Source organism: Homo sapiens, chromosome 7 (assembly GCF_000001405.40).
Source record: "Homo sapiens chromosome 7, GRCh38.p14 Primary Assembly".
Classification (NCBI taxonomy): Eukaryota; Metazoa; Chordata; class Mammalia; order Primates; family Hominidae; genus Homo; species Homo sapiens.
In genome coordinates, this window is record NC_000007.14 from 90,148,210 (window position 1) to 90,164,926 (window position 16,717).

At 39.2% G+C, this 16,717-nt stretch overlaps 1 protein-coding gene and 1 long non-coding RNA gene across 2 annotated transcripts in view, besides 1 other annotated feature; one reads left to right on the top strand and one right to left on the bottom strand.

Annotated features, from left to right (window-relative positions):
• STEAP2-AS1 (STEAP2 antisense RNA 1) overlaps positions 1–16,717 on the bottom strand; it is a 329,283-nt gene that overhangs the window by 265,857 nt on the left and 46,709 nt on the right. The gene's annotated exons all lie outside the window — the stretch shown is intronic.
• Positions 4,476–5,016: an enhancer, noted in NCBI's record as "NANOG hESC enhancer chr7:89781999-89782539 (GRCh37/hg19 assembly coordinates)". NCBI's record gives its function as "activates a minimal SCP1, AML or CMV promoter by ChIP-STARR-seq in naive H9 embryonic stem cells {active_cell/tissue: H9 hESC(naive)}" and the evidence as "EXISTENCE:reporter gene assay evidence [ECO:0000049][PMID:30033119]".
• STEAP1 (STEAP family member 1) lies at positions 6,260–16,618 on the top strand. The gene is made up of 5 exons (NM_012449.3): positions 6,260–6,334; positions 11,549–11,663; positions 12,596–13,108; positions 13,705–13,869; positions 16,268–16,618. The coding sequence occupies exons 2-5, from the start codon at positions 11,580–11,582 to the stop codon at positions 16,523–16,525; spliced, it is 1,020 nt and encodes a 339-aa protein (NP_036581.1). The 5' UTR covers positions 6,260–6,334; positions 11,549–11,579; the 3' UTR covers positions 16,526–16,618.

Below are 16,717 nucleotides of genomic sequence, written 5' to 3' on the forward strand. Positions count from 1 at the left end.
AAGGACATTTGAGACGGGAGGAAACTGAGGCTGAGCATTCATGTAAAGGTTGCGGCAGCATCTGGGAGAGGTGTGGGAAAGCACAGGAACAGGACCCAAATGTTCACAGCAGAAGCAGTCCCTAGCAGGGGCCCTTCTCTGGCATGCTCACTGCTCCCTCTGGACTCAGGAGGAGTCTCCAGGCTCCAGGAAGGACATGGGGCAAAGCTCTGCTTTTTGACCTGGGCATCTCCTTTTGAGGGAGTGGTGAGTTAGCCAAATGGGGCATGGAAATGACTGTGAAAATGGAATGGCAGCTGAAAGAAGGCCATGATCCAGGAAAGGGCATGAGGAGGGCAAACTGCAAAAGCCTGAGGCACTGCAGGGATGGGAATGTTGAAGGGTATAACAGCACATCAGGGTTTCCATGACTTTGATGCAAGGGGAAAGCGATTTTCACCTCAGACTCAAACTGGAAGTTTTTCTCCCTACCAAAAGGCAGGATGCCAGAGAAACAGACCTTTTCCCTCCTGGGTAGGAGTTTGGTGTTTCTCCAGTGCTCCACTCTGACCTAGCAGGGAGCTAGCAGAGACCATCCCACAGTCACCTCATCCAGCAGAGGATTTTCCACATGTGCCACGGGCTCTGTTCCTCAGCGACTTCAATAACAGAAGTTCAGCATTTGGGGGGTGCCAGGCTAAAGGAAGTCAATCAAGCTTCTTGTTTTGTGTTTCATTTTGCTTTTACCCTAGCATTTTCCAGAGCCTTTAACATGCTAAAACGAATTGTCACTCACCAGGAGTGGAGATGCAGCCGGTCCTGAATTTATCTGAAAAATGAAAATCTTTATTTGGAAAATGCTTATTAACATCTTAGCGAATTGGTGTTCTGGGGAAGATGATTTAGGAAAATCTGCTCTATGCATGTCACTGCCTGCTTCATGATTGCTTACTGCTTAATTTGATGCAACTTTTTTTTTAACCAAAAGTCAAATAATAACCCAGGTTTACCATTTGCAAAGCTTCTCCCTACTCCCAACACACACACCTTCCTCCTTCTTCCTCTTCTCCCTTTCCCTCTCCCTCTCCTTTTCCTGCCCTTTACTGTACAAGAATGCCTTGAATAAAGAAAACCTATAAAACAGAAATATAAATTTGGAAGTGATTATTTAATTGGCCTTTGATTTCATGACAGGCAAAAATAAGTTGGCCCTCAATTTTTTTTTTTTTTTTTGTAAAAAATGATACTTTAAATACTAAAGGATTTAAAGGATACTTGGTAAATATTTGTTGGTTTAATTCATGAAACATGTGGATGTTATGTGAAAATACATTATCTGTATCCCAGAAATAAAAAAAAATATCCTTTTTCTGGCCTAGAGCATAATACTTCAGCCCTGGGGGCCCCACTCACCTGGTATTCTATGTATATGGTGCCCCCTGCAGCAGCCCTGGGCTCATTACAAGTAACACTGATTCTTAGGTGTTCTATGCCTTTTTACCAATCTCTTTAGAGGAAGCAGATGAACATTTAGAATTTTAACAGGGAATGTTTACCTGAGGACAGAAGCTAGATGAAAAGATCAGCTGGAACCCAGAACACATATTTTTCCTGACAATCCAGCCAAATGTGAATCCAGGGACTCGGTGTAATTCATCAGAACAAAGCAACACTGCAGGCAGGTTGTGTGGTACCCATTTGCCTTTGTAATACCGCCATGCTCAATTCCAAACACAGTCTGTCAACTCATCGGAGCCCCACTGGTGAGAAAGCCAAGGCTGGCAGCAGGTTTGGTGCCACCTCTTGGTGCCAGAGCCACCTGCACACAGCATGGAGCAAGGGAATAGCCAGGGTGCCCTGGATCCAGTTCCTTCCAGAAGCCAGCAGCCCTAGGGCTCCTCCATCCCACTCCCAGCAAGAAGAAGCTGCCATGAATATGAAGGTGGGAAGAGGAAGCTCAGACCAGGGGAAGGCTTGGGCTGTGTGTTAATTCTTCTCTGGTCCCCAGGACCCAACACAGTTGTCTGGTTAATACTGCATTAAATGCAGTTAATTGATTCTAGCCCCATTTCCACTAAGAAATTCCTGAGTGCTCTCAGAAAGTTACTTCTCTTGGAGCCTGCAGCACAACAAACCACTCAGAACTTGGTGCTATAAAACAACAGCAAGCATTTGTCATTACTATCTTTCACTTCTTTAGGGGTTGATGGGGCTCAGCTAGGCAGTTTTTGGTCCTCATGCAGTGACAATCAGACAATGGCTGGGGCTAGAGTTCTCTTGAAGGCCTTTCCATTCATATTCTCTGGTGCCTGACTTGGGAAGACCTAAATAGCTGGCGGCTGGAACAGTCGGGGCTCCTCAGGCACCTCTGTCTATTACAATGTGCTCCCTCCATGTGGACTCTCTGTCAGGGTAGCTGGACTTCTTACATGAAGTCACCTGTACCCGGAGACAGGCTGGTGGAAGTCAATAACCCATTGTGATCCAGCTTCACAAGTCAAGCAGTGTCACTTCCACCATATTATATGCACGGAGACAGTCAAAAGTGCTGCCCATGTTCCAGGGCAGGAGATAGGTCTCTCTTCTTGATGGGAAGAATGTTAAAGAATTTACAGACTTGCTTTGAAACAGAGCCTTAATTTCTCCATATCCTCTAAATGAGGATAATAATACCTTCTTTTTTCCCTAAGGTATAACCCCTTCATAACCTTCTATTATAAGTGTTTGATATCCTGATATTTCTTTCTCCATGCCAGAACATACTTTCAGAAAAAGCTGAAATATTCTTTATAGTAGGATGTAAATAACTGATAAGGCTTAATATGGTACCATTGCCAGGAACTTTAGTCTTTTCATAGATCGCAACATATTTAAAGCCAATGGAATATATCACGGCATTTTGAACATCACTGAACAGTACTCAGGCAGAGATCTGTGAGCTTGGAAATGAAGCACCTACTCTTACAACCTACCTGAAAAGATGTTTACTGTTGCCTGTCTTGGTGAAAGAGCAATAAGGGACTTTGAGTTTGGGAGAAAGAATTCAGAAGAATAGTTAAAACCTCCAGTCCCAAGAACAGACCTCCTCTCTACCCCCAACCACTTTTAAACGCAGACACGAGGGACAAACTGACCACATACTTTGAAGATTACAGTAGATCTTGAACTAGTAAAGAGAATGTATCATATGAGGTTAACAGAATCAGAAATTTTGGCCAGTGAAGCCTTATCATGTCTGTCTTAAAACATCATTTTGACAAATATTTCTTCTTGAACTTAGGTAATTTTTGCAGTCGTTTAAAATAAAAGTCTGACCATTCTTCTTTCGTAAGAGGCAGACTTGGAAATAGTGTTGATCATTACTTAAATTGCTGTCCCTTCAGGAGTTAGATTTCCAAAGGAAAAAACTTAATATAATTCTTGTCATTCACTTAAAATTTACTGTCTATTTCTCATTGTGATTATCTTTAATAGTATGATATTTTTTATTTTATCTCTCACACCATAGTATTTCATTTACTTTTAAAATGGTCGTCTCATCAGGTTCTAAGATCAGGTTGCTTATTTGACAGGCAAAAATACTCGTGGATTCTAAATTATATTTTCTCCACAGCATGTTATTATGAAGTCACCAGTTTAGTATTTGACCTCAAATAACACTGAGGTCCATTATGTTAATATGCGCTCTCACTATAGTTTAAGTTTATTACAGAATATTCTGAAAGATCCAAATTTATTGGTAACTCATGGGCGAACTCCCATTTTAAATCCTCTAGTTGTTTAGAGTCACAGCAAAACTAGCAACTTGCCTTTCAACATTTGCAATAGCATAATGTGGCTTTCCACAAGCCACACTTGTTTTTAAAAGTATGTGCTAAAGAGGCTGACTCAGCATTCTGAGATGCTCTGGCATTGTATTACCCGCCCCCACCACAAAAATTTTTTTTCTTTATCTCACACCTCAAATTACAGGTTATTTGTATGCAAAAATTGCAGATAGTTCATCTATGATACTAACTCCTGGCAACTCAATAAAAGCTTTTTAGTAATATGTTTTTCTTAATCGAATATTGTGTTTCTTTTATAATATCTACAAACTAATTGATAAATAATCTCACACTTTTAATCATTTTACTTTGGAACATACTCTATTTATTCTCCACACTAAAATATTGGGCAAAAAAACCTTTTATAAGAAGTGCAGAAATAAAATTGCTAAAGTCTAATTATAAAACAAAAATATTTGGGGTTTGATTTTAAATGTTTTAATTAGAAAAGGAAAAGCAGTTTTAAGTGCAGCTTGCTATATAGCCATATTCATATGAATATATATTATTATGTTAACACAATAATAACTCTTTGCCCTTTTCATATGGAAAATAGATTGTGAAAAACAGAATGACCTTTGTTCTACCAAATGTTAAACAATAAAAGCATATCGTTTTGTCTGACCATTTAAGACCCATGATCACTTTTAAAACTCAACAATGCTTAGTTAAAAAGTCTTAATTCTTTGTAGTCTGTGCTACACATACAAAGATTACACAGATTTCTTTTCTAAAACTTTTAAATTATTTTCTAGTTTCACTAGAAACAACAGGTGTAAGATTCTATTTCCACCACAAGGTGTCAGTCCACGGTAATTTAAGCTTCAAAGGGCTTTAAACTAATCCAAGGAAAGTCAGTGACTACAGAAAATACTTATATTAAAACATGCTTTGTTAAACGGATGCTTGAAGGCGGCATGCTAGTTAAGAGTCATCACCACTCCCTAATCTCAAGTACTCAGGGACACAAACACTGCGGAAGGCCGCAGGGTCCTCTGCCTAGGAAAACCAGAGAACTTTGTTCACTTGTTTATCTGCTGACCTTCCCTCCACTATTGTCCTATGACCCTGCCAAATCCCCCTCTGCGAGAAACACCCAAGAATGATCAATAAAAAAAAATAATAATAATTAAAAAAAAAAAAGTAAAAAAAAAAAAAAAAAAAAAAAAAAAACATGAACAGTCTTCGGTGCCCTAGCAGTGAATAAAAAACAATCATGGAAAATGTGGTTGCGCGTTTATTTTCCTTTGTGTTTTCTACTCAGCTTAGTCCTGAGAATGTTGTATACCAAATCCCCAGAATTTTGCAATTCATGTCTCAGACCCTATCTTGAGGCTGGTTCCAACGGAGAGAAGTAAATCCCCTGCTCAAGTTGTCTTTTTCTAAAACCTTGGAATATTAACAGTTAACTTTACTTTAGGTTTGGAATACTTCATTGAGCTAGGATATGGGAAGCTGCACTTAAAAGCTAAGGCAAGGAAGGGAGGGACGGAGTAAACATGGGGTTTAAGGGTTTTTTTTTCGGCTGGGGAGCAGGGTTTGTGCGATTAAAGGTACACAATTTGAACAATTCAGGGAGCAAGTCACTCTCAGAAATTCAGCTTCGGATTCCTCAAACTGTCAATCACAGCCACTTCAGGACCGGCTGTTAGGTTTTAAATAAGGTGGCTGGGCGCGGTGGCTCACGCCTGTAATCTCAGCACTTTGGGAGGCCGAGGCGGGTGGATCACGAGGTCAGGAATTCAGGACCAGCCTGGCCAAGATGGTGAAATCCCCGTCTCTGCTGAAAATACAAAAATTAGCCGGGCACAGTGGCAGGCGCCTGTAATCCCAGCTACTCGGGAGGCTGAGGCAGGAGAATCGCTTGAACCCGGGGCTGGAGGTTGCAGTGAGCCAAGATCGCGCCACCGCACTCCAGCCTGGGCAACAGACTGAGACTCCGTCTCAAAAAAAATAAAAATAAAATAAAAATAAATAAGCTAACGTGTGGGAGGGTTTGTAAGCTCTAAACGGTCTATCTCAAAGTGTGATCTGGGAATGCTTCCATATCTCATGGGAACTTGTTACAAATGAGAATCTCAGACCCCATCCCAGACATACTGAACCGGAAACTGTGGGCGGACAGCCCAACAATCGGTGTTTTAATAAGCCCCCGGGTAATCTTATACACGCTAAAGTCTGAGAACCACTGCTCTAGAGAAATGCACAAACGTTCCTTAGTGGAGATTAAACAAAAGGCGAGGGGTTGGAGGGCGCGAAACGGACCTCAGGTGCAGGGCAGACGGCATTTGAGAGGAAACTGGGAGAGGCCGGAGTGCGACTTGGGGAGTCTTAGCCTCCAAGGACGTTCCGGAACCCTGCGGACGCGGGGCGCCAGCAGGTGGCGCTGGACGCGCAACGGACAAGGAGGCGGGGCCTGCAGCTGGCTTGGAGGCTCCGCGCTCTGGAGGCTCAGGCGCCGCGTGGGGCCCGCACCTCTGGGCAGCAGCGGCAGCCGAGACTCACGGTCAAGCTAAGGCGAAGAGTGGGTGAGTCCCTTGAATCGTTCTCACTGGCCGTTTGCTCCTCGAGTCCGCCCGCGTGTCCCTGCAAGGCTGGGCGCCCGCTCCCAGTCTTGGGAGGGGTGTAGCGGGTCGCAAGCCTTCTCGTGACCTGGACAGCGGCCCTCCTGGGCGAGCGCTGCTCAATTCTCCGCTTATGCGCGGCTCTGGGGCGCGCTGCCTTCCAGCCCAGCTGGGTTGTGGCCGGGCCGGGGGTTGGGGAGAGCCAGGGACTCACAGGAAGCCTTTTCGCTAGGGGCTTAAGGTTGTGGTAGATTATTAAGTTTGTGCTCAGGTTGGATTTTGATGGCAAGTTTTTTAACGTGGCAAAGTTGCCAGAGTTTGCTGTGCATTGACGAATGACTGGTGCACAGTACTTAAAATCGTGCTACTTCTCGTCTTCGGGTTTCCTGGTAACAGAGGTTTTCATTTTTAGTCCTTAGAACACTGGCCCTACTCTTTCAGGATCTGGGTGGGGTTCAGGTTCCCTCCAAAATAGTCAATCAAGGCTTTAAATATGTAATTCTGGTCAAATCCACTGGAAGGTGTTTGTAGACATAAATTTTTTGTACACTTCCAAATTTCTTACTTTGTTACTTTTGTAAAATACATTTCCCTCCACATCCTGACGTGTAATAAAAGGTTATTCATTTAACATGAATGTTAAGCACAGAGGGAAAGCAATGCTTAAAAACAGCCCAGTGAAAAAAAAAAACAAAAAACTCGACTTCACTTAGTTAAATGTAAAACAAGTGTGCACTTGAAAGTATAAAAGGTTGGAAATGCAATGCAACCCACAGTGTATTCCAGGCATTGGGTTTCTTCATATTCTCAACTGCGGGACATAAACATGAGTAAGTTGGGCTGTGCCAACATTTAGGAACACCAGGGCAGCCATCCTGGTACAGCAAAACAGCAGTCGCATTAGAAATATGCTTCACTTTTTTTAAAAGGGGGTGAAAGAGAACTTTGGGTCGAATTCTGGAGTTCCTAACATTTTAACACCAGGTTGTTTTCTGTTATTTTTCTTTTTATGAAAAGATTTTACTGTAGAACTTAAATTTCATTTTGGTTAATGTCTGATGGAAACCAACAAATTTATTTGACTCATAGTTTATTTTCCTGGCTTATGGGCATAGAGTTGACTGTGGGCCACACAGTCAACAAGCTTCCTCACTGTCATGGGCTTTTCCTTGGCTTTGCTCTTGAGTGTGGTCTCCTTACCATGCAGACAAATGGCTGGGTAACTCTCCAGGGCCACTCTGGTTTTCCACCCAGACTCCGTTTGTAGTGGCCATCAGTCAGCAAACACTGCCAACCTGCTAGCTACCCCAGGACTGGGTCTAGAAGACAGCGCTGAGCCTTTTCCTCTACTTCCCTTCCCATGCCACCATCTGCCTGTAAAACTTTATCCTCCTCTAGGATACATCGCTCTACCATGCAGTTGAAATGCCTGCCTTCTCTCCTAGACCTCAAGGTTTTTCAGAGCAGAGGCTTTATCTCATTTAACTTTGCATTCCTCCTGCCTTACATTGTTGTTCACAATATAGTTAATGAATTCATATTGAATAAATGTAGGTGGATTTGTTAGCATCCTTACGATACTGCAACCCTCAAAGTTAAAAGATCTTCTAAACATAGTGAATTATTTCTTACATTTGATTATAGTAGGTGACACTTCCATTCCTAGCACCTCCCTCCCCCACCCCACAAACTATTATGTTGGTGATATGGTTTGGAGCTGTGTCTCTCCCTCAGATCTCATGTTGAAATGTAACCCCCAGTGAGGGAGCTGGGGTCTGGTGGGAGGTGATTGGACCATGGGAGCAGTTTCTCATGGTTTAACACCATCCCCCCTTGGTGCTGTTGTCACGTTAGTGCAGGGGTACCCAACCCCGTGGCCGCAGACTGGTATCAGTCAGTGTCCTTTTAGGAACTGGGCTGCACAGCAGGAGGGGAGTGGCAGGCCAGCGAGCATTACTGCCTGAGCTCCACCTCCTGTCAGATGAACAGTGGCATTAGATTCTCCTAAGTGCATGAACCCTATTGCAAACTGCACATGCAAGGGATCTAGGTTGTGTGCTCCTTATGAGAATCTAACTATTGCCTGATGATCTGAGGTGGAACAGTTTCACCTCAAAACCCTATCCCCCTTCCCCTACTTGGAAAAATTGTCTTCCACGAAACCAGTCCCTGGTGCCAAAAAGGTTGGGGACCACTGCGATAATGTAAGACGCCTGCTCCCACTTCACCTTCCGCCATGACTATAAGCCCTCTGAGCCCTCCCCAGAAGCAGATGTTGCCATGCTTCCTTTACAGCCTATGGAACCATGAGCCAATTAAATCTCCTTTCTTTATAATAATTACCCAGCCTCAGGTATTTCTTTATAGCAGTGCGAGAACAGCGTAATACAGTTGGTTAAGTCACCAAATGACTTGGAATAATGCTTCTTAAGGAGATAGAGTGTCATTTCCTCCAGAGCAGGCATGAGTGTCATTTCTATTTTTCCTCTTTAATGTTGGTCACAGAGTTGGGTTCATAAATACTTGATGATTGGCATATGCTTTACTCAGAATTCTTTTACATGCCAGTGGTGAACACCCAAATCACACTAACTTAAACCAAAAAAAAAGGGAATGTGTTGACTGTCTAACTGAAAAATTCAGGATCTAGTCTCAGGGGCTCTAAATACTGAAATATGCCGCCAGGACTCTTCTGTGTCTTTCTCTGCTTCTTGTTCTGCTTCCGTGTTGGCTTTCTTCTTTTCTAATGAAAACATGTTCCTTCTTAGAGCATGGAGAAAAAAGCATGGCAGGCTTATACTGTGCTATCTTAACAAAATGTTAAAGACATCTCATCTCTCTCTTCCACTTCCATATATAAATATCAGAGAATGACCAGGTTTAAGTAGGGTTCTGTGCCATCGCTAAGCCAATCAATGGGAAAACAGGAAACTGCCCAGGCCTGAGTCATATACCCACTTCTGTGACCAGGGAATGAGCGTTACTATTTTACACAATCTCCCAAAATCACATTGGAGGGAGGAAGGGCATTTCTCCAAATGGAGGAAATGTTTTAAATCAGAAAAGAATGTGGGCAAACTAAAACAACAGATATCTTCATCATGAATGTTCTGTAATTTTGAAATAGATAATATCTGGAAAATATTCCAAGAGTACCTCAACAAAGTAAATGTTGGCATATGTAAAAGCAACTCGTTATTCTTTGTTATAGTTAAACCTTTAAAACTTGGAGAATGTTTTAAGAACAGTCATGTCTCTTCATGACAGGATACATTCTGAGAAATTCATTGTAAGGCGGGATTTCATTGTTGAGGAAACATCATAGAGTGTACTTACATAAACTTAGATGGTACAGCCTCCTACATACTTAGGCTAGATGGTATAGTCTATTGCTCCTAGGCTACTAATCTGTATAGCATGTTACTGTGCTGAATACTGTGGGCAGTTGAAACACAATAGTAAGTATTTGTGTATCTGAACATAGAAAAGGTATAGTAAACATACATATATCGTACAAAAGATAAAAAATTGTATATTTGTACAGGACGCTTACTATGAATAGAACTTGCAGAACTGGAAGTTGCTCTGGGTGAGTCAGTGAGTGAGTAGTGAGTGAATGTAAAGGCCTGGGACATTACTGTACAGTACTATAGACTTTATAAACACTGTACACTAAGGCTACCCTACATTTATTGAAAAATTTTTTTCTTTAATAATAAATTAACTTTAGCTTACTGTAATTTTACTTTATTAACTTATTGTTTTTACTCTTTTGTAATAACACTTAGCTTAAAACATAGTCACATTGTACAGCCATACAAAATATTTTGTTTATGTACTTACTCCTTAAGCTTTTTTTCTATTTCTAATTTTTTTTTTCTTTTTAGACTTTTTTGTTGAAACTAAGACACAAACACACACATTAGCCCAGGCCTACCCAGGGTCAGGATCATCAGTATCACTGTCTTCCACCTCTATATCTTGTCCCACTGGAAGGTCTTCAAGGGCAGTAACAGGCATGGAGCTGCCATCTTCTATGATAACAATGCCTTCTTCTGGAAGACCTCCTGAAGGACCTGCCTAGGGCTGTTTACAGTTAGCTCTTTTTTTGTAAGTAGAAGGAGTACACTTCACAATAATAATAAAAAGTATAGTATTGTAAATACTAGGCAATAGGAATTTTTTTGCTCCATTATACTCTTATGGGACCACTGTTACATATGCAGTCAGTCGTTGACCAAAGTGTTATGTGACACATCACTGTATTTTAAACTATTCCTGGAAACAGCTTTCCACCTAAAAAAGTACTACACGTGGTCTAAAATTCAGAAACACTTGGGATATTTTCTGTCAATCAAATTGTTGTATATCTAATCTGTTTTTCTCATTGAATTTCATAAAGTGTAAATTGAAGATGTGTTCCTCTGGAAATAAATTCAGAACTAATAAAAACAATGAATAGTACTGTGACATATGTTTTCTTTCCCTAAAAAATGTTACACCAATCCTGGATGAGGATCTGTGAGTTTGCTAAGGAAAAGATTCTTTTATCAAGTGAGAAATTTGAAAAGTTGTTTTCCACAGGGTTGACCAGAAGACTGGGCACATCATTAATTCGGCACAACTCACCATTCCCACTGGAAACATACTAGCAATTCACATCTTCCAAACAAGCACCAACCTCTTACTCCAAAAGAAAAATGGTACTCTGAAAATACTGTTTCAGACTCCAGTGTCAACCCCAAAATTCTGTTAAACATAAATCTTATATCAGCTACCTCCAGCCTCCATTGATGACATTATTACTCTCAATATAATACATTCCTAATTATATTTGCCATTGAAAGGAGTTGGCTTTCCTCCAGATGGAAACCTGAAATTAAATCTTCCTCAAGTAAAAGGCAACATCTGACCCTTTGTAATGCATACAGGCACCTGGGTTATTCATTGAACAAATAAGTAGATAAAGAAGAGCAGTTACTGTTGATAAGAGGGCATTGGTTTGAAACTTACAGATTATAATATGAAGTTAAATGTATAAATCAGTCACTATTTCCATTTTTATTGTATTTTATCTGCCATTCTAGTCTTTAAGTAAGTAAATTTTTTATATTGTTACATCAAACATTCACATCATAAGTAGAATGGACATGAAAGTAATTATTTTTATTTTTACAGGTGGCTGAAGCCATACTATTTTATAGAATTAATGGAAAGCAGAAAAGACATCACAAACCAAGAAGAACTTTGGAAAATGAAGCCTAGGAGAAATTTAGAAGAAGACGATTATTTGGTAAAATATTAATAATAACAATAATAAATAATAATTTACATCTTTAAACATAATTCAGATGCCATTCTGTATCTCCTAGTGTTATGAAAGTGATTTTTCACCCTAGTCTGCTGATATCTGGACTTGGATTACCGTCACTGATACTGTGAAGGACAGAGTAGCATATGTGAGAGACATAGTACCTTCACTGATTGTCAGGGACTTAGCTGAATAACCTTGAATAAGTTACTGAAAATCTGGGGTCTTAGTTTGTTTATACCATGAAAGCCTTGGACCAGATCATCCCCAAGGCCCTTCCAATTCTTTCTAACAGTCTATAGTTCTAAGTTAAAAAAAAAAAAAAGTCATCAATGCCCATATAACAGTAATTTTGTAAGCAAGCATTTTTGTCATAGACACAGTGGCAGCTTACCAAGAGATCAGTAAATTGACGATTCACTGTATAACCAAATAAATCTACTTTTGGATAAGAATCACTTGTTCCACTTTTGGTCAAACACAGGATTAAGTGTTTCTTACTACATTTTTTGACTGAAAAAGTGGCAGAAATTTTGGTTCCAAACTTCCAAATTATCTCAATGGAAGTTTTAGCAGAAATTATTTATTTAATCTTAATAATTTTAATAGGGAAAAGTAATTAATAAATTACAAGCATATACTTTATAAGAGTAACAATGTGCATAAAATGAAATAATTTCATTTTTCAAGTTAACTGTCTTACCTGTCTGAAGCATGTATTTCTTTTGTCCTAAAGACAAAAGTCTTTCAGTGCCACATAGACTATGCTATCTTCAACTAACCAGTATTCAAAAGCAAGATTCTGAATGCCCTTATTCAATGAGAAGCACAATGATTGAGCAATAAGTAATTAGTTCAAGAGATATCCCATTGTTTTGTTCAATTTTAAGATGTTAATTTTCTTTCCTTTGTAGCATAAGGACACGGGAGAGACCAGCATGCTAAAAAGACCTGTGCTTTTGCATTTGCACCAAACAGCCCATGCTGATGAATTTGACTGCCCTTCAGAACTTCAGCACACACAGGAACTCTTTCCACAGTGGCACTTGCCAATTAAAATAGCTGCTATTATAGCATCTCTGACTTTTCTTTACACTCTTCTGAGGGAAGTAATTCACCCTTTAGCAACTTCCCATCAACAATATTTTTATAAAATTCCAATCCTGGTCATCAACAAAGTCTTGCCAATGGTTTCCATCACTCTCTTGGCATTGGTTTACCTGCCAGGTGTGATAGCAGCAATTGTCCAACTTCATAATGGAACCAAGTATAAGAAGTTTCCACATTGGTTGGATAAGTGGATGTTAACAAGAAAGCAGTTTGGGCTTCTCAGTTTCTTTTTTGCTGTACTGCATGCAATTTATAGTCTGTCTTACCCAATGAGGCGATCCTACAGATACAAGTTGCTAAACTGGGCATATCAACAGGTAAGATGACAGTGTTGACACTGTTACTAATAAAAAGTCTAAGTCACCTAACAAATTAATCATTTCTCATTGTAATATCAATACCCCAACCCTGTTGAAACTCTGTGTTGAAAAAGTCATCTATTTTAAAATTTTTATTATAATTACACTAGGGCTTGGTTGTCAGTCGGTTTTATATTGAGAAATGTTTTTTAGGCTGAAAATAAGGTACAACTTTAGCAACATAAGAAACATTTTGTTCATGGACGAGGCCATATTTCAAACTTCTACCACCCTCACAAGATTACTTTTTAATATTGTTGTTCTTCTCCTTGTTTACCAATATGCATGCACATTACAGTTCTATCCAAGTAAACCATCAAATAATTATTAGAAAATTAATAGATTATGGAAGTGTTGCATTCAAGAAAAAAAGTGATAGCTCCTATGTCATTTGTCTTAGAGGAATGCAAAAAAAAAAAAAGAAAAAGTCATAAATTTGTGGAGACCTGTTATCAGGGCTTCATAGTAGGCACAGGGAAGAGTGTAGAAGGAGATTCACATTCAGGAAATAACTGTTGTTTGCATTTCTTCTTTCTTTATTTACCTTCTGGTAGGTCCAACAAAATAAAGAAGATGCCTGGATTGAGCATGATGTTTGGAGAATGGAGATTTATGTGTCTCTGGGAATTGTGGGATTGGCAATACTGGCTCTGTTGGCTGTGACATCTATTCCATCTGTGAGTGACTCTTTGACATGGAGAGAATTTCACTATATTCAGGTAAATAATATATAAAATAACCCTAAGAGGTAAATCTTCTTTTTGTGTTTATGATATAGAATATGTTGACTTTACCCCATAAAAAATAACAAATGTTTTTCAACAGCAAAGATCTTATACTTGTTCCAATTAATAATGTGCTCTCCTGTTGTTTTCCCTATTGCTTCTAATTAGGACAAGTGTTTCCTAGACATAAATAAAAGGCATTAAAATATTCTTTGTTTTTTTTTTTTGTTTGTTTGTTTTTTGTTTGTTTGTTTGTTTTTTTGAGATGAAGTCTCGCTCTGTTGCCCATGCTGGAGTACAGTGGCACGATCTCGGCTCACTGCAACCTGCGCCTCCTGGGTTCAGGCGATTCTCTTGCCTCAGCCTCCTGAGTAGCTGGGATTACAGGCACCCATCACCATGTCCAGCTAATTTTTGTATTTTTAGTAGAGACAGGGTTTTCCCATGTTGGCCAGGCTGGTCTCGATCTCCTGACCTCAAATGATCCGCCCACCTCGGCCTCCCAAAGTGCTGGGATGACAGTTGTGAGCCACCACACTCAGCCTGCTCTTTCTAATATTTGAAACTTGTTAGACAATTTGCTACCCATCTAATGTGATATTTTAGGAATCCAATATGCATGGTTTATTATTTCTTAAAAAAAATATTCTTTTACCTGTCACCTGAATTTAGTAATGCCTTTTATGTTACACAACTTAGCACTTTCCAGAAACAAAAACTCTCTCCTTGAAATAATAGAGTTTTTATCTACCAAAGATATTCTAGTGTCTCATTTCAAAGGCTGCTTTTTCCAGCTTACATTTTATATACTTACTCACTTGAAGTTTCTAAATATTCTTGTAATTTTAAAAATATCTCAGATTTACTGAGGTTTATCTTCTGGTGGTAGATTATCCATAAGAAGAGTGATGTGCCAGAATCACTCTGGGATCCTTGTCTGACAAGATTCAAAGGACTAAATTTAATTCAGTCATGAACACTGCCAATTACCGTTTATGGGTAGACATCTTTGGAAATTTCCACAAGGTCAGACATTCGCAACTATCCCTTCTACATGTCCACACGTATACTCCAACACTTTATTAGGCATCTGATTAGTTTGGAAAGTATGCCTCCATCTGAATTAGTCCAGTGTGGCTTAGAGTTGGTACAACATTCTCACAGAATTTCCTAATTTTGTAGGTTCAGCCTGATAACCACTGGAGTTCTTTGGTCCTCATTAAATAGCTTTCTTCACACATTGCTCTGCCTGTTACACATATGATGAACACTGCTTTTTAGACTTCATTAGGAATTTAGGACTGCATCTTGACAACTGAGCCTATTCTACTATATGTACAATACCTAGCCCATAATAGGTATACAATACACATTTGGTAAAACTAATTTTCAACCAATGACATGTATTTTTCAACTAGTAACCTAGAAATGTTTCACTTAAAATCTGAGAACTGGTTACACTACAAGTTACCTTGGAGATTCATATATGAAAACGCAAACTTAGCTATTTGATTGTATTCACTGGGACTTAAGAATGCGCCTGAATAATTGTGAGTTCGATTTGTTCTGGCAGGCTAATGACCATTTCCAGTAAAGTGAATAGAGGTCAGAAGTCGTATAAAAGAGGTGTTGTCAGAACACCGTTGAGATTACATAGGTGAACAACTATTTTTAAGCAACTTTATTTGTGTAGTGACAAAGCATCCCAATGCAGGCTGAAATGTTTCATCACATCTCTGGATCTCTCTATTTTGTGCAGACATTGAAAAAATTGTTCATATTATTTCCATGTTATCAGAATATTTGATTTTTTAAAAACATAGGCCAAGTTCATTCACTTCATTATTCATTTATCAAAATCAGAGTGAATCACATTAGTCGCCTTCACAACTGATAAAGATCACTGAAGTCAAATTGATTTTTGCTATAATCTTCAATCTACCTATATTTAATTGAGAATCTAAAATGTACAAATCATTGTGTTGATTCTGCAGGGATCCTGCTATAAGTAAGACTCAGTCCCTGATTTTAGGTATCCTGTGATAAGCAGAATTAAGACAAATACACAAGAGACAAAGCACAAAAAATAAATATCATAAGGGGATGAACAAAATGGTGGAGAAAGAGTAGACAAAGTTTTTGATCACCTGCCTTCAAAGAAAGGCTGTGAATTTTGTTCACTTAGACAGCTTGGAGACAAGAAATTACCCAAAAGTAAGGTGAGGAGGATAGGCAAAAAGAGTAGAAAGATGTGAATGGACATTGTTGAGAAATGTGATAGGAAAACAATCATAGATAAAGGATTTCCAAGCAACAGAGCATATCCAGATGAGGTAGGATGGGATAAACTCTTATTGAACCAATCTTCACCAATTTTGTTTTTCTTTTGCAGAGCAAGCTAGGAATTGTTTCCCTTCTACTGGGCACAATACACGCATTGATTTTTGCCTGGAATAAGTGGATAGATATAAAACAATTTGTATGGTATACACCTCCAACTTTTATGATAGCTGTTTTCCTTCCAATTGTTGTCCTGATATTTAAAAGCATACTATTCCTGCCATGCTTGAGGAAGAAGATACTGAAGATTAGACATGGTTGGGAAGACGTCACCAAAATTAACAAAACTGAGATATGTTCCCAGTTGTAGAATTACTGTTTACACACATTTTTGTTCAATATTGATATATTTTATCACCAACATTTCAAGTTTGTATTTGTTAATAAAATGATTATTCAAGGATCTTGATGTTTCTCTTTGTATATATGTGATGAGTTTGAAATATTTGTATTTCCTTGCAGATTTTATTCAAAGCAAAAAAACTTTTTAAAATGAATCTCT